Source organism: Homo sapiens, chromosome 1, assembly GCF_000001405.40.
Source record: "Homo sapiens chromosome 1, GRCh38.p14 Primary Assembly".
NCBI classification, from domain to species: domain Eukaryota; kingdom Metazoa; phylum Chordata; class Mammalia; order Primates; family Hominidae; genus Homo; species Homo sapiens.
Window position 1 is genome coordinate 56432401 of NC_000001.11, and position 26237 is coordinate 56458637.

At 45.5% G+C, this 26237-nt stretch overlaps 2 long non-coding RNA genes across 4 annotated transcripts in view, besides 7 other annotated features; one reads left to right on the forward strand and one right to left on the reverse strand.

The window, feature by feature from the left end:
• LOC124904185 (uncharacterized) overlaps positions 1-26237 on the reverse strand; it is a 74169-nt gene that overhangs the window by 22234 nt on the left and 25698 nt on the right. The gene's annotated exons all lie outside the window — the stretch shown is intronic.
• Positions 2856-3470: an enhancer, noted in NCBI's record as "NANOG-H3K27ac hESC enhancer chr1:56900928-56901542 (GRCh37/hg19 assembly coordinates)". NCBI's record gives its function as "activates a minimal SCP1, AML or CMV promoter by ChIP-STARR-seq in naive H9 embryonic stem cells {active_cell/tissue: H9 hESC(naive)}" and the evidence as "EXISTENCE:reporter gene assay evidence [ECO:0000049][PMID:30033119]".
• Positions 2856-3671: a biological region, named in NCBI's record as "Sharpr-MPRA regulatory region 1049".
• Positions 3377-3671: a silencer, noted in NCBI's record as "tiled region #1049; K562 Repressive non-DNase unmatched - State 22:ReprW". NCBI's record gives its function as "represses a minimal TATA promoter and a strong SV40 promoter by Sharpr-MPRA in K562 cells {active_cell/tissue: K562}" and the evidence as "EXISTENCE:reporter gene assay evidence [ECO:0000049][PMID:27701403]".
• Positions 11971-13335, forward strand: LOC124904189 (uncharacterized). Its single transcript, XR_007066110.1, has 3 exons — positions 11971-12052; positions 12135-12237; positions 13220-13335. It is a non-coding gene; the product is annotated as an uncharacterized LOC124904189 (long non-coding RNA).
• Positions 16537-16831: an enhancer, noted in NCBI's record as "tiled region #6809; HepG2 Activating DNase unmatched - State 5:Enh". NCBI's record gives its function as "activates a minimal TATA promoter and a strong SV40 promoter by Sharpr-MPRA in HepG2 cells {active_cell/tissue: HepG2}" and the evidence as "EXISTENCE:reporter gene assay evidence [ECO:0000049][PMID:27701403]".
• Positions 19651-20326: an enhancer, noted in NCBI's record as "H3K27ac hESC enhancer chr1:56917723-56918398 (GRCh37/hg19 assembly coordinates)". NCBI's record gives its function as "activates a minimal SCP1, AML or CMV promoter by ChIP-STARR-seq in naive H9 embryonic stem cells {active_cell/tissue: H9 hESC(naive)}" and the evidence as "EXISTENCE:reporter gene assay evidence [ECO:0000049][PMID:30033119]".
• Positions 20327-21002: an enhancer, noted in NCBI's record as "OCT4-NANOG-H3K27ac hESC enhancer chr1:56918399-56919074 (GRCh37/hg19 assembly coordinates)". NCBI's record gives its function as "activates a minimal SCP1, AML or CMV promoter by ChIP-STARR-seq in primed H9 embryonic stem cells {active_cell/tissue: H9 hESC(primed)}" and the evidence as "EXISTENCE:reporter gene assay evidence [ECO:0000049][PMID:30033119]".
• Positions 21003-21678: an enhancer, noted in NCBI's record as "OCT4-NANOG-H3K27ac-H3K4me1 hESC enhancer chr1:56919075-56919750 (GRCh37/hg19 assembly coordinates)". NCBI's record gives its function as "activates a minimal SCP1, AML or CMV promoter by ChIP-STARR-seq in primed H9 embryonic stem cells {active_cell/tissue: H9 hESC(primed)}" and the evidence as "EXISTENCE:reporter gene assay evidence [ECO:0000049][PMID:30033119]".

Genomic DNA, 26237 nt, shown 5'->3' on the forward strand with positions numbered 1-26237 from the left:
CAATGCTCCCTCCCTTCCCCGATGGCCCAGAAAGGCCCAGAAAGCCTAATTCCTTTCAGGGAACCAGAGAGACGAGACAGCACAGGTATAGGGCTTAAGGAGGGCAAGAGTGATTTCTGTGTTGGTGGTGTTTTTAAATGCTAACTGGAACAGGAAAAAAAAAATCAGGTGAGAGAGAAACCACAATGCCTGCCAAGGAGTAGCCTGCATTGTTCGCCCCTGGAAAAGCTGCTGGCTTAGGGCTTTTAAAGCTGGGGAAAGGTCAACCCCTCGCAAAAGAACAAACTGCATGGCCCTGTGACTTCCCTCCTCTAATTCCCATAACTCCCTGTGCTGGTTGCCTCCTCTGGAACGTGGGAAGGTGATCCCTGCCCTGCCAGGGCTGTTTGGGCTGTGTGCTTGTGCTTGCAGGGCTTTGTGGATTGGAAAGTGTAGGCAACCTGATGAAGAGGGTTGTTTCTGTGTGCTTAGCTCTGCCAGCCTGGCCTCCTGACCTCCCATGCTGTTTGCTCAGCGCTACCCATGTACCTTCCCTCAGGTCCTCCTCTACCCACTGCTCCCCCTTCTTGATTTCACCTTCCAAATCCTCCCATCCTTGATAACTGCATTTCCAAGAAGCCCCTGCTGGTGATGTCGGTCTGCACTGACCTCATGCCCTCAAGATGTCTTCAGACTGGATGGCACCATGAGAGTCGCTTTCTTTCTTCTGTGTTTTGTTTTCTTTTCCTGTTGTTTTTTTCTCACCTCTCTCAGCAAGGACCACCTGGTCTCCCACTTCCCCCATATTATCATTCTCAGAGGGCCTCCCCCAATCTGCCCTCACCCCCACCTGTTCCGAATCTAGCCACACTTTCATGCCCCAGTCAAGGCCACTCCATCTGTGTGCACCAACCTGACAATTTCAGTTCCCCAAATGTGCCATGCTCTAGCTTTCCTTCCTCATCTTCCTACTTCAGGTCTCAGTTTAGATGTCACCTCCTTGATCCTCACCTCCAATTCCGCTCAGATGAGGTGCCACTGCTATGAGTTCCCTTGACACCCTGTGTTTCCCCCATGACTGCACTGATTCCTGCTGAAATTAACCAGTCTATGCCTTTCTCCGGCTCTTGCAAGAAACTGTATGTGAGCCAGGGCTTGTCTCTCCCATTCTTTAGAGAGAGATCCCCAGCACTCAGGACAGTGCCTCCCCAGGGCAGCTGCATGAATGGCCTACCGTGGATTATCCTACTCTCTACTGCTTCACCCAGCACCGAACTCATAACAAATGCACAACAGACATTATCATGGACCCATTCTGTCCACAAGCATTTATCCAGTGCCTGCTATGTGTCAGGCCCTGGCCTGGGATAGAATGATAAATAAGACTAAAGTTCCTACTCTCAAGAAGATTCCAGGCTAAAAGAGGCAAGAAACAACTGCAGTATAGGGGATGAAGCCATGAGTAGAGATACAACCTTATTGCTGTAGAAGTACAGGGAAGGAAGCTAAAACTTCATTTAGGAGTATCAAGGAAGGCTTCTCAGAGGAGGTGGCAGTTGATAGGTTCTTTTAGAAAAGGAGTTTTCCAGGTTTAGAAAAGAGGACTGGGGTTGCCAAGGTAGAAGTAGCAGCACGTGCAAAGGTAGGAAAAGAAGAAAAGGACCACTGCATTAGGGGAAGGATGAGAAGCTTGTGGCACGAGATAAGGAGTCCAAGAGGGGAATGTAAACCATGAGGCTGGGGACGAAAGCAGAGCCCAACTGGTAAGGCAGTGGGAAGCCAGGGAGATATTTGAGCACGTGAGTCATGTCTCCAAGTTTGAGTTTTAGAATGTTGACTCTGAGCATGGTATAATCTCATTTCTTATCTTTCCGTCTCACAAGCTCCACCCACCATTCTTTCTTTCTTCCTACACACCAGTAGTTCCCAAAGTGTGGCCCTAAACCAACAGCATCACATCATATGAGATCTTGTTAAAAATGCAAATTCTCCAGCCCCATCCTTGGCCCCATGGAATCTGAAAGACCAGGGTGGGGCCAGCGATCTGTACTTTAACTAACCCTCCAGGTGATGCCAATATACGTCAAATTCAAGAACCACTGTGCCTGACAATCTATCTTCTAAGAAGGGAAAGGACAAAATACCAATGTGCTTCCTTCAGCTCCAGAGTTCTCCTGAAACACACCCACTATGAAGCTCCCCCATCAGGGTGTACTTACTCTTTCCTCCAGTAAACTTTAAACAGCACCTACTGCATAGAAACCAGAGGCAGAAGTGTTCTTCCCCAGTTCATTCTTTAATTCATCCACTGATATGTCTGTAGCCCATGCAAGGTATGTTTCACGCTTGACCTCAGACACACCTGATTTGAATCCCAGCCCCACCGTTCTTTGCCAAGAATGAAAACGTGGTGGGACCAGGACTCCCATGGAGAAGTGAGGAGAGCAGAGGGGATCAGTACCCAGTTCTGCCTGCAGGAGGTGGGCAGGTCTGGCGGGCCCCTCTCTAGGTGTGTATGGTTCCATCCCCCTGCACAGGGTTCCTGCAGATGGGGCTCCCAGCTGTGCAGGGAAGGGCATGGGGTAGGGGCACTCCCACAAGCACAAATGACATATGTTTCGTATTATATGCACATTCTTTGTGGGAGCCCCAGTGAAAAATACACATGGCTAACCATCCCTTTCTCAGAAGGAGGGGCCCCAGGAAAGGAGATTTTGACTGCTGGCTTTATCAAGAGTCAGAAAGAGTGAACACTCTGAGTCTGTTAGAAAAACAAACTGACTGTGCTTGGGCTTTTAATTTTAAGGATCAGGAGAAGGTCTGGATGTCAGCGGATACCTTGAAGAGCCCACCTGGGTCTCAAGACAGTGGTGGAAAGTGCAAGAGATTTGGCATCTACCCAGCTCCCTGACTTCCTTGCTGTGTGGCATTAAGAGATCCACCGGGTTCGCTGACCTTCCATTTCCTCATCTCTAATCTGAGGATAAAAGCATTTCAACTCACAGGGCAAGCATCATGGCATTTGCAAGAGTTCTTTGTTAAACATATTACATACAAGGGACTCTTTATTACATTTTAAAAATTCAGAGGGAAATATTGATCAAAAAATTATCTAGCAGCATGATACATAAGGAAGAATATGGATTTAAAGTCATACTGAACTAAATATAGATCTCACCTTCACCACTCCTAGCTGTGTGGCCTCAGGCAAGTTACTTGACTTCTCTGAACCTCAGCTTTCTCATCTGCAAAATTGGGGTAGAAGTACCCCCCACCCATTAGGGTTGCTGCAAGGCCTAACTCTGATACCCTCTGTAAATGCCCCTGGCTCGTACAAAGTACTGGATATAGGTGAGTAACTCAGCCCAGGGGTGCCCAGAGCAGCATGGCCCACACAATCCAGATTTGGGGATGATCCAAGAGCCAGCTCTGCTCTGCACATCCCCTAGCTTGAGGGAAGAGGCTGCCTCCTCCCCTGACACTCCTCTGAAAGCTATTCTTCAGGCTCACAGCTCTGGCAGCCTCCCCTCTGCCTCCATCAAGTTACAGACCCATTTGTTTTCCCCTCACAAAGCCCTGCAGTCTGTGAAGCAACTCCCCCTCCTCCTCCAGCCTGGCAAGCTGGGCCAAGAGTTCAGCTCCGGGTAGTACAGCCCCAGCACTTCTCATTAAGGCACACAGAAAATGTCACAGCTGGCCCCATGTTCATTCCCTTGTATGTGTCTTCATCAATTTCCAGGCCCCTGGAAGCAATTCCCAGAATCCACTTCTTTTCAGCTAAGTTCCCTAGAGGGGAGGGGGAGCTTCTTAAGCCCATTCACACCCAGCAGGTGTTGGTGAGGGATCTGATCCAAGGCAGAGGGGGTGGGAACTAATATTTTCAGACCATCTCTCATGGACCAGGCTCTTTTATCCATGTCTTTCAAATCTTAACATGAGCATCGCTTTTCTGGGGGCGCTTTCCCTGATTGTCCCACCCCCAGCCAAGACTCAGTGAAGTCCTGTCTCGTAGCAAGCTGTATTTCTTCTTGCAATACTTACATGTGCAAGCATATGTTTAATGCCTTCCTTCCCTTGTAAGCTTCATGGGGTGGTGGGGGTGGGGCACAATCAAGTCCATTTCATTCTCCAGTGTCTCTTTAGTGCCTGGCACCTACTCTGTGCCCAGGCACTAAAGAAACACTGGAGAATGAACTACACAGTGCCTGACACGGAGTAGGTGCTTAATAGATAATGAATGAATGAATGAATGAATGCATCAACCTCATTGCAATGCTGTGCAGTAAATAGTATTATTTTCTGGATTTTGCAGAGAAAGTAACTGTGACTCCAAAGGTGAAATGTCTTATCCCAGGTGACACAGCCAGTAAGTGGTTCAGGTAAGATCAAACCTAGTTTTTTACCAGGACTTACTGCACTTGATTTATACTATGATTGAGCTGGAAACAAAACAATTTTTCAAAATAAAGAAGCTGAAAGTGTTTGCCCACAATTCTCTCTCCACCCCCAACCCAGCATGATTTGTACTGAGCAAGAGGATTCTAAGGGCTTTGTGTAGCCCACGCAAGGCAGAGGAAAGGGTACAGGGGCTGCCCTTGTCCCCCAGCTGCCAGAGACTGGATCCTCACATGGAGCCCCGCCCGGTTTGTCCCCACCAGGGCAGGACTTGGATAAAAAGTCTCAGGAGAACAAAGACCACATTTTCCCCTGTGAAGCAGAGAGGCCACTGCCGGGGAAACAATGGCCTTGCTGCGGATCAAAGGAGCTGGGCCTGTGCTGGGGACAAAAGCTGAGTCCCTGCTTGATAAGACTGACAACCGGCTCTTCCCCTCCTTTTAGAAAAGTCTCCAGAGAGTCCACCCCACCTTCCCAGCCTCACCTCCCAACTCTTCTCCCCTCCCCTCCCCCACACAGCAGAGCTCCAGGAATGCAGGCTAATTGCTCTTCCCCCAGCGAGCCTCGTTCTTTAACATGCTAGGCCTTTGCTTAAGTGTTTCATCTGCCTACCATGAATTTTCCCTCCTTCCCCCTTAAGTGTACACTTACTCAGACTTCAATATTTTGCTCAAAAATTGCCTCCCCTCTGCCCTCCCTGATCCTTTGACACCTACATGGATTGCATGCAGCTGTGCATTTGCTCAGACCCCAGCTCCTGCCTGGAGTTAGAGCACTGAATTATTACTACCACCTCCAATGCCAGCCTCTCCCTTCAGGTCGTGACCACATGGAGGCCAAGATAATTCTTAACAATGTTGTAAATGCATTGCCAGACACAAGAGAAGACTGATGGGCAAAAAAAAAGTATGTTAATGAATGTTGTAGAGTGAGCTCTCCTAAGCCCTGGAAATTCACTTGGGTGACATGTCTTCTGGATGAATCAAAACCTCCCTATCTCCTTACTTTAATTGTTTCAGTTAATATTTTTTAAGTGCCTACTATTTTGAGGACACTGCTAGGTGCTTAGAATGGAATGATGAGCCAAAACAACAATCCTGCCCTCATGGAGTTACAGTCTAGTGGTTCGGGTCAGGTAGACAGACATTAATCAGCTGCATAATTTTAAAACTATAAGGACTGTGAAAGGAAAGCACAGGACAGGGCAATACAAGAGGAGATTAATTTATGCACCAATATTTGTTGAGAGTTCACCATGTACTAGGCTGAGTTTGAGGCTCTGGCAGAGATGCATCCTTTCTGGAGCTAACCTATCCTATAACAGGGGAAACTGGTCCAGGCTGGGAAGGCTTTCCAGAGGAAGTGATTGCTGAGCCTGATTTAAGGGATGAGTCACCATTAAGGAGGCAAGGGCAGAGGGTGGGAACAATGAACGTTATTTTATGATTGGTAGTGAGATGGGGTTGCCTACAGGAAAATAGAGTACTTCACTAAAATGCCCACAGAGAACTTGACAGCAGAAGTTGGCAGAACAATCCAAAATGTGTGAAGGTCAGATTCAAAGGCCCAGAGAGACTCTGTGATTTGCCCAAGGTCACCCCCATGCCTCTGGTAGATGGAGAGAAACAGAGTCCTAGCTCCAAATCGCTGCCTCACAATGCCTTGCAACTCTTAGATTATTTGGGAAGACGCTCTCTAACCTGAAAAGAGCCCCCCGGGATTAAAGGGCAAAGTATCCCCAGGAAATGCCCTTCTAGAAGAAAGACCAGGTTCAACCTGGAATTTCCTATAAAGAGAATGCTACTTTACCATAGTAGAAATAAGAAGCAATGCCTTCTGATGTTGTGTTCGTTCAATAACTATTTACAGTTTGCAATGCACTTTCACATAAATGGTCCCATTTCTTCTCAGAGTAACGGTCAAGCCCCAGGCTTTGGGGTCAATGAGACCGAGTTCTAATCAAAGCCTTCCTATTAACTGTGACTTTGGGCAAGTTATTTCACCACGCTGTGCCTGAGTTTCTTCATTTGGGACCAGTGGTCTTTCTAGCAAGGCTATGGCTAAAATGGTGCATTAGTTTGCTAGGGCTCCATAGCAAAGTATCACAGACCTGGGTGGCTTAAACAACAAAAACTTATTATCTCACAGTTCTCCAGGCTAGATGTTTGAGATCAAGGTGTTGGCACTGTTGGCTTCTTCTGAGCCTTCTCTCCTTGGCTCATAGATGGTTATCTTCTCCTGGTGACCTACATGGTCCTACCTCTGTGTCCTAATCTCCTCTTCTTATGAGGGCACCAGTAGTATTGGATTAGGGCCCACTCGAATGACCTCATTTTAAATACCTTTTTAAAGACTCTTTCTCCAAATATAGCCACATTCTAGGGTACTAGGAGTTAGGGCTTCAACATATTTATTTGTGGGGGAACATAATGCAGCCCATAACAGATGGAATCAGGTTTCTACATTTCTGCACAGTGCCTGGTGCACAGCAGATACTGGGTAGGTGATAGGTGGCATTGACATTGGCATTTCTGGGAGGGACTGTGGAACAGATGACTGCTGGTTCTCCCTCTTGTGCTCTAAAGGACAACCGGGGCCAGGCACGCTTGGTTCTAATCCTGTCTCACTGCCTGGATGACCTTGGAAAGATCTTGGTGCCTTCTGTTTAGTAACAACAAAGGAGATGCACCCCATACTATCTGTGCTCCTTCCCTTCTCACGTAGTTCCATTGTAAGGCCCCAAAGCTTGCCACTCTAAGAGCAGAACAGGAAGGAGGCAAAGGTCCTGCCATTTTCAGTACCATTTACTCACAGAAGGTGCAGCTTGCTGCTGCTGTTTCTGTACATGTGAGTGGAAGCAACTTCAGAAAACATTCTCTTACCTTGCCTTTCCCCGACTGCCTTTCCCAGAAGGTAGGAGACAGCAGTTTTCCCAGAGGCAATCAGTTAAAATATTTTTGGATACAGAACACATAACTTAGGGAGAAATCCTGATAAGTCCCATTGTCCCCGGATTACCCACTGGCATCTTAGGCCAGATTCATTCATCTGGCAGCCTGCCCTGCCCTGGCATGCCCGGGACAGCTGATGCTCCAGGAGCAGGTGAACATGGCCAGAATATCACCTTGGAGGTAATTTTCTCCTTGTGCTCCTTATTCACTGAGATGTTAAAAGAGGTTGTTGGTGTTGTGGGTTTTTTTTTTAAAGACTATATCAGCACATCCTATTTGTAGCATGAACCCAGGCAGTTCCTAAAGACTGGCTTTAGTCTATTGTGTTTGCTTCCTCTTTGAACCCAGTCAAATCAAGATAGTGAAGCCAAAAGAGATGAGTGAGCAGAGGAGAGACGCTGAAATGGCACTTTGACACTGCAAAAAAACAAATGAGTTTTGAAAAGGCACTAATTGATCTTTAGGCCAGTGAGGCCTTATTTGGGGGGTGTTCTTTGTGCTCCACTCTGAGCCTCATATTTTGCATTGATTTTCAAAAGGACTCATGCTCATTGCAGAAAACTTGGAAAATAGAAAAATGCAAAGAAGCATAATATATATATACATATGTACACATGCACACACATACAACCCATAAGTCTGTTGTCTTAAGATAATTATTAAGATAATTGCTGTTAATGTTGGGATATGTTTTACTCTAGTCTCACTTCTTGTGAAGTTGAGATCATACTAGAGATAAAGTTTTATATCTCTGTTATTTTAATTTTCATTCTATCAAAGGCATTTCTTTTCAAGAAAAACTTTAATGTCTGTATAATATTCCAGTACATTGATGTACTGCTGTGACCTAACCATTCTCTTGTCGTGGATATTTACGTTGGTTCTGTTTCTCTTTTAAGGGATAGTTTCCTCTGATTTGTTGGGCTTTTATAAACAATGCTACCTGGACATCTATCTATTTTTATCTACCTTTTTCTAAGAAAATATCACATCATTAATTTCATATGCTGCATTCTTTTTTTTTTTTTTTTTTGGAGACAGAGTCTCACTCTGTCCCCAGGCTGGAGTGCAATGACGCGATCTCAGCTCACTGCAACCTCCACCTCCTGGGTTCAAGTGATTCTCCTGCCGCAGCCTCCTAAGTAGCTGGGATTACAGATGCCCACCACCATGCGGGGCTAATTTTTTGTATTTTTAATAGAGACGGGGTTTCACCATGTTGGCTAGGCTGGTCTCAAACTCCTGACCTCAAGTGATCCACCCGCCTCGGCCTACCGAAGTGCTGGGATTACAGGCGTGAGCCACCGTGCCCAGCCATGCTGCATTCTTAAAACAACCGTGAGAATTAGGTAGTATTTGCATGTAATGAATTAGGCTCACAGAAGCCACGTGATGAAAGAGAGCTATTAAACTCCAAACTGCTGGGCACGGTGGCTCACGCCTGTAATCCCAGCACTTTGGGAGGCCAAGGTGGGCGGATCACGAGGTCAGAAGTTCAAGACCAGCCTGACCAACATGGCGAAACCCCGTCTCTACTAAAAATGCAAAAATTAGCTGGGCATGGAGGCGCGTGCCTGTAATCCTAGCTACTCGGGAGGCTGGGGCAGGAGAATCGCTTTAACCCGTAGGCAGAGGTTGCAGTAAGCCGACATAGCGCCACTGCACTCCAGCCTGGGTGACAGGGCAAGACTCCGTCTCAAAAATAAAAAAAAATAAAAAAAATAAAAACTCCAAACTGAAAAAGAGCCCGCTTTATTAGACCTCAAGCCCCATGCTCTTTCTACCGCTTTATGCTTCGCGTTAAAAGGTGAACAGTGGGAACATGAACCGTCCGACAGTTGATCCCATTATGAAGAGATGGAGGGACTGGAAATTCTGCACCTGGAGGAGAAAAGACTTGGAAGGCAAAGATGTCTTCTGGCATCAGCCAGGTGGACACACTGGTGAAAAAGCAAGCAGGCTTGTCCTGCGCTTTTAGAGGGCAGAACTATGACATCAATACGGCAATTAGAGTTGATTTCCATTCACCATAAGAAGGAAGTGTGAGGCTATGGATAAATACAGGAAGTTTGTCATATAACAGACTTGAATGTGAACCCCTGCTCCATTCCTTCCTGATTGGGTGATGTTGGGCAAGTCACTTGAGCTCTATAAGACTCATTTTATTTAAATTTAGACCATGTGAAGTTAATCAGAGGATTCGAAGCAATATGATTGAGTATATGGGTTGGTATCTATTAGGAGTTCAAAAAATGGTTACCATTACTTTTAACACTAAATTATGGCTGTCCAACCCTGGAATGGGCTACATTGAATATTCAAGTAGATGGGATACCCATCTGTCCAATATGTGGTGGAGGCAGACAGAAGTTGAACCAAGTGATCTCTAAGTCACATGATAGGAAAAAACTGAGACAGAGTTAGGCATCCTGAGCAAAAGACCTTATTCTATTACTTAGTAGCTGAGGCATAAGGACAAACAACTTACTCTTTCCAGGCCTTAGTGCCTAGTTCATAAAGTGGGGATAATAACAATGCACTCCTTATGGGGCTATTAGAAGGGAGAAAAGAGATTGTGGATATGTAAGCTCTCAATATAGCTGCAAAACTTTCTAACAATATCCATTAACTTTATGATTGTTCTAAATCAATAATGTGATTGCTCTCCTGGGGATGCACATAGAAAATAAATTGTGCTTCTGATAAAACTGCTGCCATCCAGCCTCCAGGGCCCTTCACAGCAGTCACTGTATGGTACAGTGTTGTTTAAAGAGCGAGCTGGCTAAGATGGCCAGTGCATGCCTGGAGTTTGGAGGGGCTTAGGATGCTGCCTGTGGAACTGTCTTTCATCTCCCAGGAATGTCTGCAGTATTTACAGAGCAGACAGGGCCTTATCTCCACTACTGGGTCAGGGACTGTGAAGACCCTTCCCCAGCCCCCTCATCTCTGGTGGAGGGCATGCACAGGTTTCGGACAGCTGACCCTCTGGGCTGGAATGCTGTGAGCTCAGCCTGACACATCTTCCATCAATTTCCTTGGGAAAGAAAGATCCCAGAGAGGCAGGCTGCACCCATCCATCTGATCTCAGCCATCCTCATGTCTTCAGGGTTTTATATCTTTATTGAGCATAACAAGTAACTGGTGCACTTCACTCAAATGCCCATTACATGAGGCCAGACATTCCTGATCCTCACTGCATAGGTTTCTATCCATCATTAAAGAATGGACAGGAATTGCATTCAGAGGAAGTGGTGGCTTATAGCAGCTTCACCCCATAAATTCTGATTAGGTGCTTTCTTAGCCAACATGACCTCTCTCCCATTGAAGACTTGAGATTGTCTTCTTTAAAGCAGAATCAGACCACTGAAAACCCCGAAGCCAGATAAGCCTGATCATAAATACCAGTTCTCACATTTATTATGTAACATCAAGCTGTTATGTGAATTAAATGAGATAGTGTACATTAGGGTCTTAGCCCACTGCCCAAGACATAGTGAACCCTCTATTAAAGTTATCTGGTACTTAGCTGTTGTGCTGGCTGCATGATTTTAGGCAAGTCAGTTCGCTTTACTGAGCCTCGGTTTCCTCATCTGGAAAAGGGGAGCATCTATAAAAGGTGGCTGAGAAGGAAGCAAGAGGTTTCAAACTCAGAGCAGGCTGGGCTCATTTTCTACTTCTTTCAGTTGGTAAACTATGTTTCCTTGGCACACTGTTTATTGGTTTAATGTCTCAGAACTTTGAGTTCCTTATTTGTAAAATATAGATAATAATGCCCATTTTTCAGGGTTGCTGTGAAAACTACAGACCATGTCTGGAAAGGATATTGCATGAAAAACAACTATGACATGATTTCTAATAGGTGACTGGCAGAGTGATTACCGCCTTAATTTTGAGTGACAGCAATTTAAATCTGGTGTCTGAAGCCACTGCCTCCTTCAAAGGGTAAAACAAGATGGTCACCAGCCAACCCAGCAGCAACAGGCACTGAAGTAGACACTGAGGATGCAGGCGATGAGCCGTGTCCATGAAATCAGAACCAGGCTCAAATGACCCAGGCAGCCACTAAGTGCTTCTGTTGGGGAGTTGAACACTCTCCCATCTGTCCCTCCCAGCTGCTTCCTGCCCTGCTTTAGGAGTTGAGGGTTCCCGTAGGACTGAATTCATGAGATAGTCAAAATCAAATGGCCTCTTGGCCTCTAGCTTTCATCTCCTCCTCAACCCCCACATCCACCTGGTCGTTCATGACCTAAAAGCAGCTATGTCATATGACACCTTGCTCAAAGAGCAGAGTGGATCCCTAATATCTCCTAAATAAAAGTTCAGACTTAAAGCATAAAGTTAAGGTTTTCTGGAACGTTCCACAGCTTATCCTGATGAGAGCTCAGGACATCGTAGAGTCAGAGGGTTCTGGACTAGGAGACCAACACATCTAGCTCAAGCCTGGCCCATGCCACATAGTGTCTAATTTGTGTGGAGCAAATTTCTTGTGGGAAACGAGTTAATATTCTTCAGGCACTATAAGATAAGACACAGAGTTAGGCACTTCTTCATGTTTTTTCAATTAATTCTCACAATAACCCCTCTGAGGGAAAGAGTCTTATTGTCCCTGTTTTGCAGGTGTGGGGACAGAGCTGAAGACCAAGCAACACAGGTAGCACCTCTGAGGTTGGTGGGGACCCCAAGACCACCTACCCACAGGAAGTAGGACTCCCTCCTAACCATGTGAGGTACAAAGCTTTTGCCAACATCAGCTTGGCTTAAGTATCGGCACTCTTTCTGGCTTCATTCTCCTTTCTTCTATATCTACAGCTAAGCTATAAAGACCAGCATGGCGCCTGGGATTACTATGGATTCAAAAAACTTTGCAAAAATATTTTGGAGGCTGGACTCATCACCAGGTACCCATCATAAGGTAAAGAACAGGCAACCTCTACAAAGCCTCAACTAGAGCAGGTCTCGCCATTATACATAAGTTCCATTGCATTTACCTTAGAGCACTCATAATTATACCTATTGGGAAGATGAAGCCCGTAGAATTCATGAGGGTAAGAATAATGCCTGATTTGCTCACCACTGCATCCTCAGTGTACTTGATTTATACTTATTGAATAAATAGAAGAATTAATAGGACTGTTTTACCTGGAAGATATGTGTACAGTATAAATTGCAACAGGAAGGAGCATTTGAAAGAAGTCAGGTAGGTACACATTGGGGAAACTCAGACCCCGCTGGCCAGGATTTGTGAAGTCCATACAGCGATAAGGAGACTAAGGTAAGGTTAGTTACAGGCTCCCACGAGAGCAAAGCTCCACCTGAGTTCCACCTCCACCTCTGCCCCAACTCACATTGCATAACCTTGGGAGGTGCCATCACCTTCCTGGCTCATGTCTTCCTCACCTGAGATGTGCAGAGCTTGGATCAGGCTCACAACTTGCTTCCAGATCTGATATTTACATTTCCCTATTGGCTAATACCTCTTGGCTAATACCTCTTCCTCCAACTTTTAAGGACATTTTGAAATAGTTGAAACTGTTCTAAATATTAGAATATTGAAGACAGCTACTGAGGGTATAACACATATTGACCAACCTCTACCTCAGAATGATCCAAAGACTAAGGTAATTCAAAGGGGAAGAGAAGTCCCAGATATTAGAGTTAGGTGGCTTAAATGCCATCAGAGGGACTTCCAAGTGCCCTCTTGTGAGTGCATGCGTGAACTCTCTCCCTTTCTCTCTCAGTCACACACACACACACACACACGCGCACACACACACACACACGCTAATCTTGCTACACTCATCTGAACCAAAAAAAGAAAACAAACAAACAGACCTAGACAGTGAGTTGCGAGAGGGATTTGCAATTTACTATTCTATCTATTCCCTTCTTTTCAGGTCTTTATTCATTCAAAGCCTTGATCAACTGAGCACTAAGCATCACCTCATCAAAATCACCTGGAGTGCAGTTGGAGGCTGCAGTGAGCTATGACTACACTACTGTGCTTCAGCCTGGGTGATAGAGCGAGACCCTGTCTCAAAAAAAAAAAAAAAATCACCTGGAGGAGTAATAACAAGTTTGTTAAAATGCAGATTTTAGGCTCCCCCAAAGATCTTCTAAATCAGATTTTTTACCCATACCTCACTACCCCCACTTCTTTTTTTTTTTTTTTTTTTTTTTTTTTTTTTTGAGACAGAGTCTCACTCTTGTTACCCAAGCTGGAGTGCAGTGGCGCAATCTCTGCTCACTGCCACCTCCGCCTCCCAGGTTCAAGCAGTTCTCCTGCCTCAGCCTCCTGAGTGGCTGGGATTACAGGCACCTGCCACCACGCCTGGCTAATTTTTGTATTTTTAGTAGAGACAGGGTTTTGCCATGTTGGCCAGGCTTGTCTCAAACTCCTGACCTCAGGTGATCCACCTGCCTCGGCCTCCCAAAGTGCTGGGATTACAGGCGTGAGCCACCACACCCGGCCTCAGCCCCCATTTCTTAAGCCTACTAAAGTTTTAGATTATGTAAAATGCTTAGCACAGTTAAGAGACTGTTCACATATGCCAGGCACCTTATCTAGTAGCTGGAAGCATACGAAATTGCCAATTGCCAATAGTCTATCATTTTTGACCTTTAAAAATGGCAATTTCATATGGCTCAACCGAATGCATTGGCTAGATCTCATCCCAACCTTCCAAGCAGACATAGTTATTCCTAGTTTACAGTAAAGACCATGAAACTCCAAGGGGTTAAACATCTTGCTGAAGGGCACAGCTCTAATGAAAGGCACAGGTGGGATTCCAGTGCAAGTCTCTTCTGCCTGCAGCCTTGGTTCCTCCTTCTGTTCTCCAGCAATCCACCACTGCTCCTCAGGACGACTGCAAACACCAGACGGAAGTGCATCATTTTGGCCACAGTGTCCCAGGTCGAAACACCACCTCTGACTCCAAACAGAGCCATGAGTTTGTCCCTTGAGGCTCGGGCTATGTGCACAAGTTTTCAGAATGCCTTGTTTCTTGTCAAAAACTAAACTGATGTTTTTCCTGGCATGGCTTTTGGAAGGGAGCATGATTGCTGATTAAATATGAAGTGGTTTGAAACCTAAGTGTCTCTCTGAATAACGTAATGTTTACTCCCCACAAGGAAGGCATGCCAAGGGGCTGTCTCATAGGGGTTATTTATGTGTCCAAGTCTCCAACAACCCCTCTGGAAACTGTTGCAGTGATCCTTTTGGGTTTGACACCCCCTGAGGGATCTGTGTCCTGAAGTGGCCTGAGGGCTGGAAGGGAGTGTTCTGTCCCCAGCACCACCAGCTCTGCTGATGAGCCCTGAGCTGGGTACACTGTACCTGCCCAGAGAGGCTAGAGACTTGCAGACACATTTCCCTGTTCCCTTACTCAGAGTAGGGAACCCTAGCCTGTGAGGCTGCAGAAGGAATCCCGGAGGATAGTGGAAGGAAGGAGAGCAGCGTTGTCTAGGAGGGCTCTTATGTCATCTCTGATTCCTCAAAGACCCTCAACGTGGTTGTTCTTGTTGCCATTTCACAAATGAGAAAACCAAGACCCATAAAAGTTAATTCTTTTCTCAAGTTCACACAGGATTTGAACCCAGGCCAGTCTGATTCCAAAGCCCCTCTTTATTTCAGGAAGGAAGGAGAGGCAGGAGGAAAGGGGAACTTATTTTATGCCAAGTATATGCTAGGGGCTTCTCTTTCCATTATCTTTTCTATGCTTTCTGCTACTCCTGGGAGGAAGGTATCATTACGCTTATTTCACAGGTAAGAAAACTGAGGTCCAGGGTATTGGAGTTTTTGCCCAGGATCACTCAGGTAATAAATAGCAAAACCAGGCTATAGCCCAGGCTGGTTTACATTTCCTACTCCTTCACGCTGACTCTTTAGTGATGAGTCCCACAGTCTGGGTCTCTTCCCAACCATGACACTTGACCTCAGTTTCCCATTCTGTATCATGAAAAGGACGTAAGCATCTCCCAGGTTTATAAACCTGATATAGCATAGGCCCATTAGTACAGTCTCCCCATGTTGGAGAGACAACATGGCTCCTAACTGAATTATAAAATAGTGTTCAAGTTGCTGGCCCTTGAATTGTCTTTCAGAGAAAACATATCTCAGAAGATATAAAAAGAATTAGCCTCATTCCCCAAGGAAAGATTGAGAGAGGGACTGGCAAGAAGCTTCCAGAATTCCTTGGAAAGTCCCTGAAATAGCTCATATGGCCACCTCTCTCAAGCAGAGCAGGATAAGTGTGGCAATTTGGGGCTGTCCTGAAGTGATTCTCGGCTTGCTTAGAAGCTGAGCAATATTTTCTACCCACCTGCCTGTAGCAAGCCTACTCCCAGGTCATCACCCCCAATTTCGTCATCCTTTTCCATGCTCCCATATCAGCAAGAGTTGGGGCTTCATGAACCCCTTGAAAACATTCAGCTCTGGGGCCATGAGTCATAGTAGAGGCTACACTAGACTAACCCCCAGAAAGAAAAGGACTAATAAAATGAAACTCCCAAAAAGAAAGGACAGTCACTAATTGGTCATCGTCCTCGTATATGCCAGGTGCATATTCAATAATCAAAATAACCCATAGTGCAGTACTTTCTTTTACAAAATAAGAAAAAATAACAATGAAAAGGATAATAAAGGCAATAAGAATAGTGATAACAGTAACCAACATTTGCGGAGCTCTTTCTTTGTGCCAGTGTGCCAGTCTTTTTGCATGCATTAGGCTGATCCTTAAAATAACCAGATAAAATATTTACTATTACTGTGCCCATTTCACCAATAACACTCTTGAAGCTCGGAGAGGTTGAGTAACTTATATCACACAGCAGGTAGCTGGCAGATTGAGAATATGAACCTAGGTCCGTTTGATCTGAAAACTTTGGCTCCTCGTCATTAAACCATGAGGCCTCCTGGAGAAACTGGATTCACAAGTATTACCTTCATTGAAGCATTTATCCTCTCTGAACCTCAGTTTCCTTATCTGTAAAATGGAGTTGTGTGGGGAACAAGGAAGATGCTAGATCCAGTCATGTATTTGGTCCGTCATTCCACAACCACTGGGACTCCTTTGGGTTATCAGGCACAGAGCTGAGTTCTGGGGTTCAGGGGTTAAATGAGAATCTCCACTGACAAGTACAACAGGCACAGATGTGACTGATCAGAGTGTAGCATGCCGAGTGCCATCAGAGCATGCGTGCACTCCCGGAAGCACCAAATAAATGTTCTTAGTTATGACAGACCTTAAATAAATTATTATTATTATCATTGCTATTCATTGAAACATTAAAGGCATATTCCCTTCTGAGTCTCACTTCCTGGGGTTCTCCCACTAGCTCCCGCTAGTTTCCCAGATGGACGCCTGGGTCAACTTGCGACACATTGGACTTTTGTTTTTAACCCTCCAGGACCTTACGGCCCGGAAAATCCCAAAGGTGACTCAGAGACTTTCAGGGAAAGTGATCAAAGCTGAGGCCCCTAAGGGCACTGGATTCTATACTCTGCAGCTTCCCCTATCCCAGAGCAGGAGAACGGGCTGGAGCTGAATCCCACCAGCCTCCTCATACCCTGGGGCAGCTGAAGGAGAGGCTGCCCAACCCTCAGGAGAGGGCAGCCAGCTAGGGGGTCTCACTTCCCAGGTTCCATATGTCCCTCAGCTCTGTGTTAATTGTGGGTCTCTGGGCAAGTCCCTCCAAGTTTTAGGGTCCCCGTCTGAAAAGTGGGAATAGAATTTCTGCCTTCTGTTATATATGGCTGCTATAAAAACTAAATGAGAAAGAGTATTGTGCTATGATATACCTATTAGACATAATTCATTCATTCTCTATTCATCGAACACACACTTTGTGTCACAAACTGACTACATACCTAACATTTTCCATGTAGTAATCCCATATGTAAAACTAAGTATTTTATGTATATGAGCTAATTTAATCCTCACAATACTATAGGTAGATATTATCTGTATCCCCATTTTACAGATGAGGTAACCGTTCATATAGAGGCTAAGGACCTTGCTTAGGGCTACACAAACACAGCTGATGAGTGACAAAGCAGGTAGCCTCGCTCTGGAGTCTGTGCTCTTCACCTCTCCCTTCTCTGAGGGTGAGACATGGTGCCTGTCCTGCCCACAGGGGGTTACAGTCTGGTAGGAAAGACAGAGTAAGCAGACAATCATAGTATATACGGTGCATGTTGCGATGGGGAGTGCAGGGGATCAGAGCCAGAGAAGGGGCTCACACCCAGCCCAGGGGGATTAAGGAAGACTTCTTGGAGGAAGTCAATACAGAGAAATGAAGTCATCCTGGGCAAAGCACTAGTTGCGGGAGAGCTCTGGGCTGAGAAAGAGGCTGTTGCCTTTGAATAGTGGAGAGAAGTTGGAACACTGGGTTCAAGGGCAAAGATAGGCCGGGGCAGATCCTGTGGGACCTTGTAAGCTGTTGTCAGTCAGGGACCCAGCAGCAAAGAGATGGCATGCTCACCTGAGTGGTTTAAGAAAAGTTTAGCAAAGGAACTTTGCACAAACTGTGGGCAGGGAAGATGAGAAGTAATAATGGATGCTGCACTACTCCTGGGCTAGTAGCCATTACCACCCTGAAGCCTGGAGGGGCAAGAGGAGGAAGCAGCATAGGGAACACTATGGCAGGAGCTGTGGCCTCCAGGTAGAGGGAAGACCAGATAAGAGGGAGGCGAAAGGTAAACACTGACTGCTCTCCTCCTGCCCTCCCGTCTCTTGCTGGGCTTCACTGGCTGAATCCAACTGAAAATGTAAATGTGTGTGGGTCCAGGAATGCACTCCACACAGGTCAGAGTCTTGGGGCACACAGCAGGGTGGGGAAGGGAGGACAATGGACCTCTGCCAACAGTCAGAAGATACTCTTACTCAGAGGCTTATTTTTTATCCCAAGGACAGGGGGAGCCATCATAGTGATGCTATCAAATCTCTACTGTTTTTTTTTTCTTTTTTTTCTTTTTTTGAAACAGAGTCTTGCTCTGTTGTCCAGGCTGGAGTGCAGTAGCACAATGGGCTCACTGCAACTTCTGCCTCCCGGGTTCAAGCAATTCTCCTGCCTCAGCCTCCCAAGTAGCTGGGACTACAGGCACATGCCACTACGCCCAGCAAATTTTTGTATTTTTAGTAGAGACAGGGTTTTGCCATGTTGGACAGGCTGGTCTTGAACTCCTGGCCTCAAGTGATCTGCCTGCCTCGGCCTCCCAAAATGCTGGGATTATAGTCATGAGCCACTGTGCCTGGCCTCCATTTTAGAAGGATAACTCTGATCACAGCAAGAGTGAAGGCAGGGACCAGGGAAGAGGCTGGTACAGGTGTCCACGTGGAAGGGGTGTGGGCCTGAGCCCTGGCAGGGAAATTTAAGCTAAAGATACTTGGACATGTCATTGGATAAGGCCTTACCAAACCTCAAGAAACTGCAAACCATCCCTCTTTCTCCTTCCCCACTGACACTGTAACACACCCTTATATACACACACACACACACACACACACACACACATATTACCACCACCACCACCAACCACCCCCCGCTCTTTGGCCTGCCCTGGTGCTGTCACAGGCCATAGCCTCCTGTCTTCTGATTCTGATTCCACTCACACTTCAGCATCCTCATCGTAGCCAACACTGTGCCATTATTCCATTCACACTATCTGCAGATCACAGATCTGGATACTATGTTCTCATCTGACAAATGAGTGACAAGAAGGACAGAAAAATCCACAGACTCATCCAAGGCTCCCACAAAAAGTGAGTGTAACATAGCCAGGATGTGAACCCATGTCTCACCCAAAGCACACCATACTCCGACTGTATGCAGAGGAAACCACCTCCGCTGCCCCTCCTTTCTTTTACTTTTCCCTCTTCCCTGCCATGAGACAGTGTGTCTTAGACTTTGACCCCACAGAGTTTTCCTTAGCAAGACGCCTCCTCCCTGTACAGTCCTCAATGGACAGAGTTGGTTGGGTACAGTCCTCTTCCCCCTGCCATAGAAAGCCTGGTGCATGGCTGAAGCCTCGCAGGCTGGCCATCCCCACAGCAGAAGCGCTGCTCCTCCCATCCTCCTGCACAGAGGGCATTGCCTGCTCTGGAATGGGTGAGCCTTCATAATGTGTTATGGCAATTTAGTCACATAATGGCTTGTACTTGGAGAGCATTTACTTTATGCCAGGCATTATTTTAAGTGCTTTACATTTAATTGTTACAAAACCACATGTGGTGAGTCTATTCCCATTCTACAGATGAGAAAACTGAAGTGCAGAGAGTTAAAATAAATCACCCAAGGACACAAAGACAGTGAGTAGCAGGGCTGGATCAGAATTCAGGCAGGGTGGCTCCAGCATCTGTTGGCTTAACCTCCTCATATGCTTTTTGTCTGAACTGGAAAGCCCCAAAGCACATTCAATACTACCCCTCATTTTGAAAACAAAGAAAATGAGGCCCAGGGAGAAGAAGTGAGTGACTTGCCCGGGTCAGTGACAGAGCCTGGAATACAGCCCCTGACTCCCAGGCCAGTGCTCATCTCATCTCCTGACACTGCACTTCCCCAGGACTCTCTCCCCAAACTCTGCATGTCCTTGGCTGCAAACAGGCTGAGTTTCTCACTAACAGCTCAATTATACTGGAGTGAGCACTCCCCTCCAGGAAGCCAGTTTACGGGACATTAAAATCTCTTACTAATGACCTATATTCCTCACATCCAAACTGGAGCTTGGCCATGTACTCCAAGCAACTCCTTGCAGGAGTCACAAAGCTTTTGACTGGGGAATAACCAAAGCCAAATATTTCCAGAGGCAGGAAACCCCCTAGGGTCCCATTCCTCAGCTCCTCCTCAGCCCACAAGGAGGTTGTTCTAATGTCAATGGAAGATACTTTCTTTTTTCTCTGAAACCTTCAGAGATGATAACCTGGTGAGCCTGGGGCCACTATCACCTCCTCATCACCCCCACCCCATATTTATTCTACAGATGAAAAACTTCAGGATGGGAAATGTCTCTATTCAAACCCCTTGTTGAACCAATGGGGAAACTGAGGCCAGCAAGAAGACTGGGCCATGCTCCAAGGCACACAGTAGGGCCAGCAATGGCCAGAGGCAGGGCTGGAACCCAGATCTGTCCACTCTGAATTCTAATTCTTTCTACCACCCCTCACAGGGTCCTCCCAGCACCTTGTTTGTCTAGAGTACATAGTTCTTTTAAAAGTGGTTTGTATAATTCTTAAAATCCTGAAGAGTTGTAAACAGCCTTTGTAGAAATACAGAAAAACAGTTCGGGGAATAATTTGTCTCTTTCTTCCCCTGCTTAATTTTTTGATCTCAGGATGACAAGGCCAGTGACCAATCTGTCCTCTTCCTTTCCCCCTGGGGGCTCGAAGGAGGTAAATCTAGGGCATATCAGTGAGTTCGGTGAACTGATGTTTGTGAAGTGCTTCAGCTGACACAGTGTTTTCATGTGACATTTTCAACAGCCCTGTGAGGTAAACACATGCCTATTGCAAGGGAGGCCATGTGGCCTGCCGCGTGGCCACTAGACATTGGAGTGAGGTCAACCTGGGGCTGGATCCCAGCCTCAACACACACATGTGAGCTCAAAGTTACTTATCTTCTCTACTTTCCTCATTTATAAAATGGGCATTATACACACCTTGCAGAGACATTAGGCAGATTGAATAAGGTGAGGCATCCGGGACTTTACAGCACTCAGTAAATGTTAGCAGACATTATCTCTGTACTGTCCTCTACCAGGGAGTGCATTACAAAAAAAAGTAGTTAACTCCCGGGGTTTGTTATTCCAATACAGGCAGAAAGTATAAATTAGCATCAGAAAGGCTTTGATAGACTCCAGATGACAAAGCCATAGTGGGAGCTAGTATGCTCAGGACTGGCTCGGTACTCTGGTTAATCTAATCAGAGTGAAGCCAGGTCGTGTGTGGGAGCTAAAGGGAAGATGCAGTATTTTTTTCCTCTAGATATAAACCTGGGGAATGCAGGCCTGGAGCTGCTGGCCCATCCTGGTGCTATGTGGAAACTGAGACTGAAGCCAACATGGAAGAAAGGAGTCCTGAGAGAGGAAGAGAGATCATGTGAGACCCCTCCAGCCAGTCCCAGCCCAGGATCTCGAAACTGTATGAACTGATACATTCTTTTGCAGAGCAGGGGTGTGCGTTATCTATCACTGTTGTCTATCACTTGCTCGTGAAAGAGTTCCACTCGCTTCAAGGGTTGTCGAAAGAGCCAAAGAGATACTAGCCTGCTGGTTGATGAGGGTTGGTGCACAGGACTTTTCAGAAGGGCTGTGGAAATGTTCTATTTCTTCAACTGGATAGTGGGCGTACCAAACTTATTTATTTATTTATTTATTGAGATAGAGTCTTGCTCTGTCGCCCAGGCTGGAGTGCAGTGGCGCCATCTCGGCTCACTGCAAGCTCCGCCTCCCGGGTTCACGCCATTCTCCTGCCTCAGCCCTCCGAGTAGCTGGGACTACAGGCACCCACCACCACGCCAGGATAATGTTTTGTATTTTTAGTAGAGACGGGGTTTCATCGTGTTAGCCAGGATGGTCTTGATCTCCTGACCTCGTGATCCGCCCGCCTCAGCCTCCCAAAGTGCCGGGATTACAGGCGTAAGCCACCGCGCCCGGCCTTAAGGCATACCACATTTCTTATGCTATTCTTCATGCTTTGAATGTATAACATATATATGTGTAATTACATAAATATATAATTCTACCTAAGAAGTATAGCTTGGAACAACTTTTCTAGAGACAATTTGGCAATACCTATCCATTTAAAATGCACAAATCTTTTAGCCTTAAAATTCCTCTTCTTATCCTAAGAGAATATTAAATTGTGCACAAAGATTTCTATACCACAGTGTTTATAATTTCTAAAGAAATTTTGAGTTTTGTCAATAAAGAATTGAGTAAATTTTGATAAATCCTTGCAATGGACTATTATGAATATTATGTTATTAAAAAGAATATGGTAGATTTTTTATGCATTGACAGTGGAAAATATCTATAATACAAATTTAATTTAAGAGGGCAGGAGGACTGTGTATCATTTAGAGATTGTATCCAAGTACCAAGTACAAGTCATAGAAGACCTGACCGCAGTGACATAAAATCACAGAGGATTATTCTCCAGTGATAAGGAAGGCCTGAGGAAGGTCAATCAGGTCTGGCATGGCTATTCCATTAAGTTATCATGATTCATGTGCCTTTCCCTCGGTGTCCAGTGTGTGGTTGCCTCCTCAGGGTCACTTCATGGCTTAAGATGATTGCTTCAGGCTGGGTGCAGTGGCTCAGTCTATAATCCCAGCATTTTGGGAGGCTGAGGTGGGCAGATCACCTGAGGTCGGGAGTTCGAGACCAGCCTGACCAACATGGAGAAACCCCATCTCTACTAAAAACACAAAATAAGCTGGGTGTGGTGGTGCATGACTGTAATCACAGCTAGTCAGGAGGCTGAGGCAGGAGAATCGCTTGAACCTGGGAGTCGTGGATTGCAGTGAGCCGAGACTGAGCTATTGCACTCCAGCTTGGACAACAAGAGCGAAACTCCATCTCAAGAAAAAAAAAAAAAAAAAAAGTTGATTGCTTCACATCTGTTCTGTAGTCCAGAAGAAAGAGGGCAAAAAAAAGCATAAAAAGACACACCTCTCATCCAAGAAAGCTACTTCTATGGTGCTCCACAACATGTCTTCTGTTCTGTCAACGGCCAGATATTAACCACATGGACACATCTAGCTGAAGGGGAGGCTAGGACATGTTGTCTTTATTTTAGGCGGCAATGTATTCAGCTAAAAGTCAAGACTGCACTAAATGTGTGTGTGTGTGAGTGTGTGTAGAAGGCAATGCAACATATGTGCTTATATGAGTATAGAATAAAATCTAAAAGCATATATGCATAAAAGATGGTTATATCTAGGAAGTCAAATTAGAGGGTATTCTTTCACTTTCTACTTCATAGCACAGTGAGTTCATAAATTATTTTTGGCCGGGCATGGTGGCTTACACCTGTAATCCAAGCACTTTGGGAGGCTGAGGCAGGGGGATCACTTGAGGTGAGGAGTTCGAGACCAGCCTGGCCAATATAGTGAAACCCCATCTCTACGAAAAATACAAAGATTAGCCGAGGGTATGTACACCTGTAATCCCAGCTACTCAGGAGGCTGAGGCAGGGGAATCGCTTGAACCCAGGAGGGAGAGGTTGCAGTAAGCTGAGATTGTGCTATTGCACTGCAGTCTGGACTACAGAGCAAGACTCTGACTAAAAAAAAAAAAAAAAAAAAAAAATTCAACAAAATTTTATTATTCTTAGAACCAGGAAAAAATAAATAAAGCTATCTCAATTTTGAAGAAAAAAAGAGATTATGGTGTTAAAAAAAAAAAAACCCAAAAGTCCTATAATGTAAACCAGAGTGCATTATGTAATTAGCAAGAATATTTTATGCCAGGGTTTGAGTATATAAATACAGAATCATTCAATTATTAAACATTCTTAAAGTCTTCAGAGTGTGGCAGACATTAAATAAGGAAAAGACCAAATGCAAGCAACATGAAAACCTCTTTTCTAATCTAAAGAAATTAGAGACCATTGGCAATACTCTTATCATGATTCACTGAAGACTTTTTTTTATAAACATGTGCTCTCTCCATGAAGATTCATTCAATGACATTAATTGAGTATCCATCTGGGCCACGTAATTTATTAGACCCTTTCTATATTTTCTCATTTAACTCTGGGGAAAAAAACGCTATTGGGTAGATACTATTGCCCCATATTATAGATGAGGAAACCAAGGCTCAGACTGGTGAAATTAGTCACTCAGCCAAGTTCAGCTCGACCCTAGATCTATCTGACTTCAAAGCCCATGGGGGATGCTTTTCAGCTGAATCAGCCCCAACCCCTCCTCTGGAAGCCAAGGCTGATAAATGATAAATAATCCTCACCCGAGTTTCCACGTCTCATACCTTAGGAGCCTCAGAGTCTGAGTCTTTCTAAAATTAGGTCGATCGCTTCCTTCCTTACGTCGAGCCAGTTTTAAATATAGGCTCTCCTATCCATCTTCCTTGCTCTGCTATGTTTCCTCTGCACTCCATGGTCCATCAGATCCCAGTAGTATTTTTCCTATTGCCTTTTAAACTTCCTTTGGGCGTCTGATTTGTTACTCATTTTGGACCCACTATGCTGGGAACTTGTTCATGGTTCTCCGTCCCTGTCAGCTCTGACGCAAGTCAGGAAAAGCCTCCCAGGTATTAGTCATCCCTGCTCTGGGATGTCATGCAGCCCCTAGAAGGTGACCTCTAGCTAATTTCCTGGAGGCAGCAGGTATGATGGAGAGAGGCTGGGCTTTGAACTCAAACAGATTTGGATTTGAATCTTAGCTGTGCCATATTTCTGAGTCTTAGTTTCCTTGTTTCTAAAATGCAGGTGAGAATACATCTTTTCCAGGCCAAACATGAGCATTATTGAGATAATCTAAGTATTTTTATAACCTGGAACCTGAGAATTGTTTAATAACTTTTAATCACTTTTATTATTTAGCTTGTTTCCAGTTTTCTTGACTGAAAAAGCCCCAAATGTTTACCTTGTAGCTAGTGAACATTCACATCAATTATAATTATGGCTACAACTACCTAGCATAACAGTTAAATGCACAAGCTCTTAGCATAGACTGCCTGAGTTGGAATCTCAGCTCCACCACTTAGTAACCATGTGATTTTAGGCTTTTACTTAAACCCTCCAAACTTGTTTTGTCAACTGCAAAAAGAGTTTTATGATGCGCCGACCTCATGGGTGAGCAATTGGAATAATGCCTTGCCCATTATAATCCCTCCATTGGTGTGAGCTGTTATTATGACTGTTACCATGCATTGAGCTCCTTCAAATGCCAGGCCCTATGTTAAATTCTCATGCATTCTCCCATTTTCACAATGGGTTATATTATTCCCACCTTTGAGCAGGGGAAACTGATTCACAGTGGGAAGGTGACTTGCCTCAGATCCCACAGCTAATAGGAGGAAGAGGCTGGATTCATGTCAGGCTGTGTCAACACCAGAGCCCCTTTTTCACTCCACCATTAGGTTATCTCTCCCGACTTCCAGCTCATTCTCCAAGGAGCCCCCTTGGCTCCTTCGCAACTTCCTATCCTGATATCCAGGGACATTTCCACATTAATCTCGGTTTCCTTTGCTATTTATGTTGTTACCTTGCCCATGCTGTATCACAAGGGTTATTAGTCAGAAATTGTGTGTCAGTGGTTATGACCCTAAAGGAAACATTCCGGAACTCCCACCAACCCTTCCCTGATCTCAGCTCATGAATAACAGACTATTTATCAGTGGGCAGAATACAACCTATTGTTGGAGTATAAAGGAACAGCGACCAGGTTAGAAGGCCTCCGTACAAGATGTGTGCCTCAAGGACCTGCTGAGTAAGCTGGTGAACACGTGGCTTTTGGAAAACAGGATGACGCCAGCCCAAATTGCTGACAGGTCAGCCCCGCTTGCTGTGAACTGAGTCTTCTAGGAACAGGGATGCATTGCCCCAGAGAGAGTCATGCATTCACCTAATGACAAGTAAAAATGAAAATTGTAGCAGCTACCATCTGAGTGCTCCCCATGTGCCAAGGAGGCGCTACATACACCTCCAGGTGTCAGCCCTCACCACTCCCTGCCTTGCTCTTTTTGAGCCAAGAATCCCAAACAACCCAGAGCCCTCTACAGGCTCCATGCTAGTTCTTGCCTCCGTGCCTTTGCCATTCATTCCTCCATTCAACAGACATATTTACTATGTGTCGCTTATGGGTTGAATTGTGTCCCTCCAGCATTCATATGCTGGAGTCTTAACACCTGATATCTCAGAGCATGATCTTATTTGGAAACACAGTCATTGCAGGTGC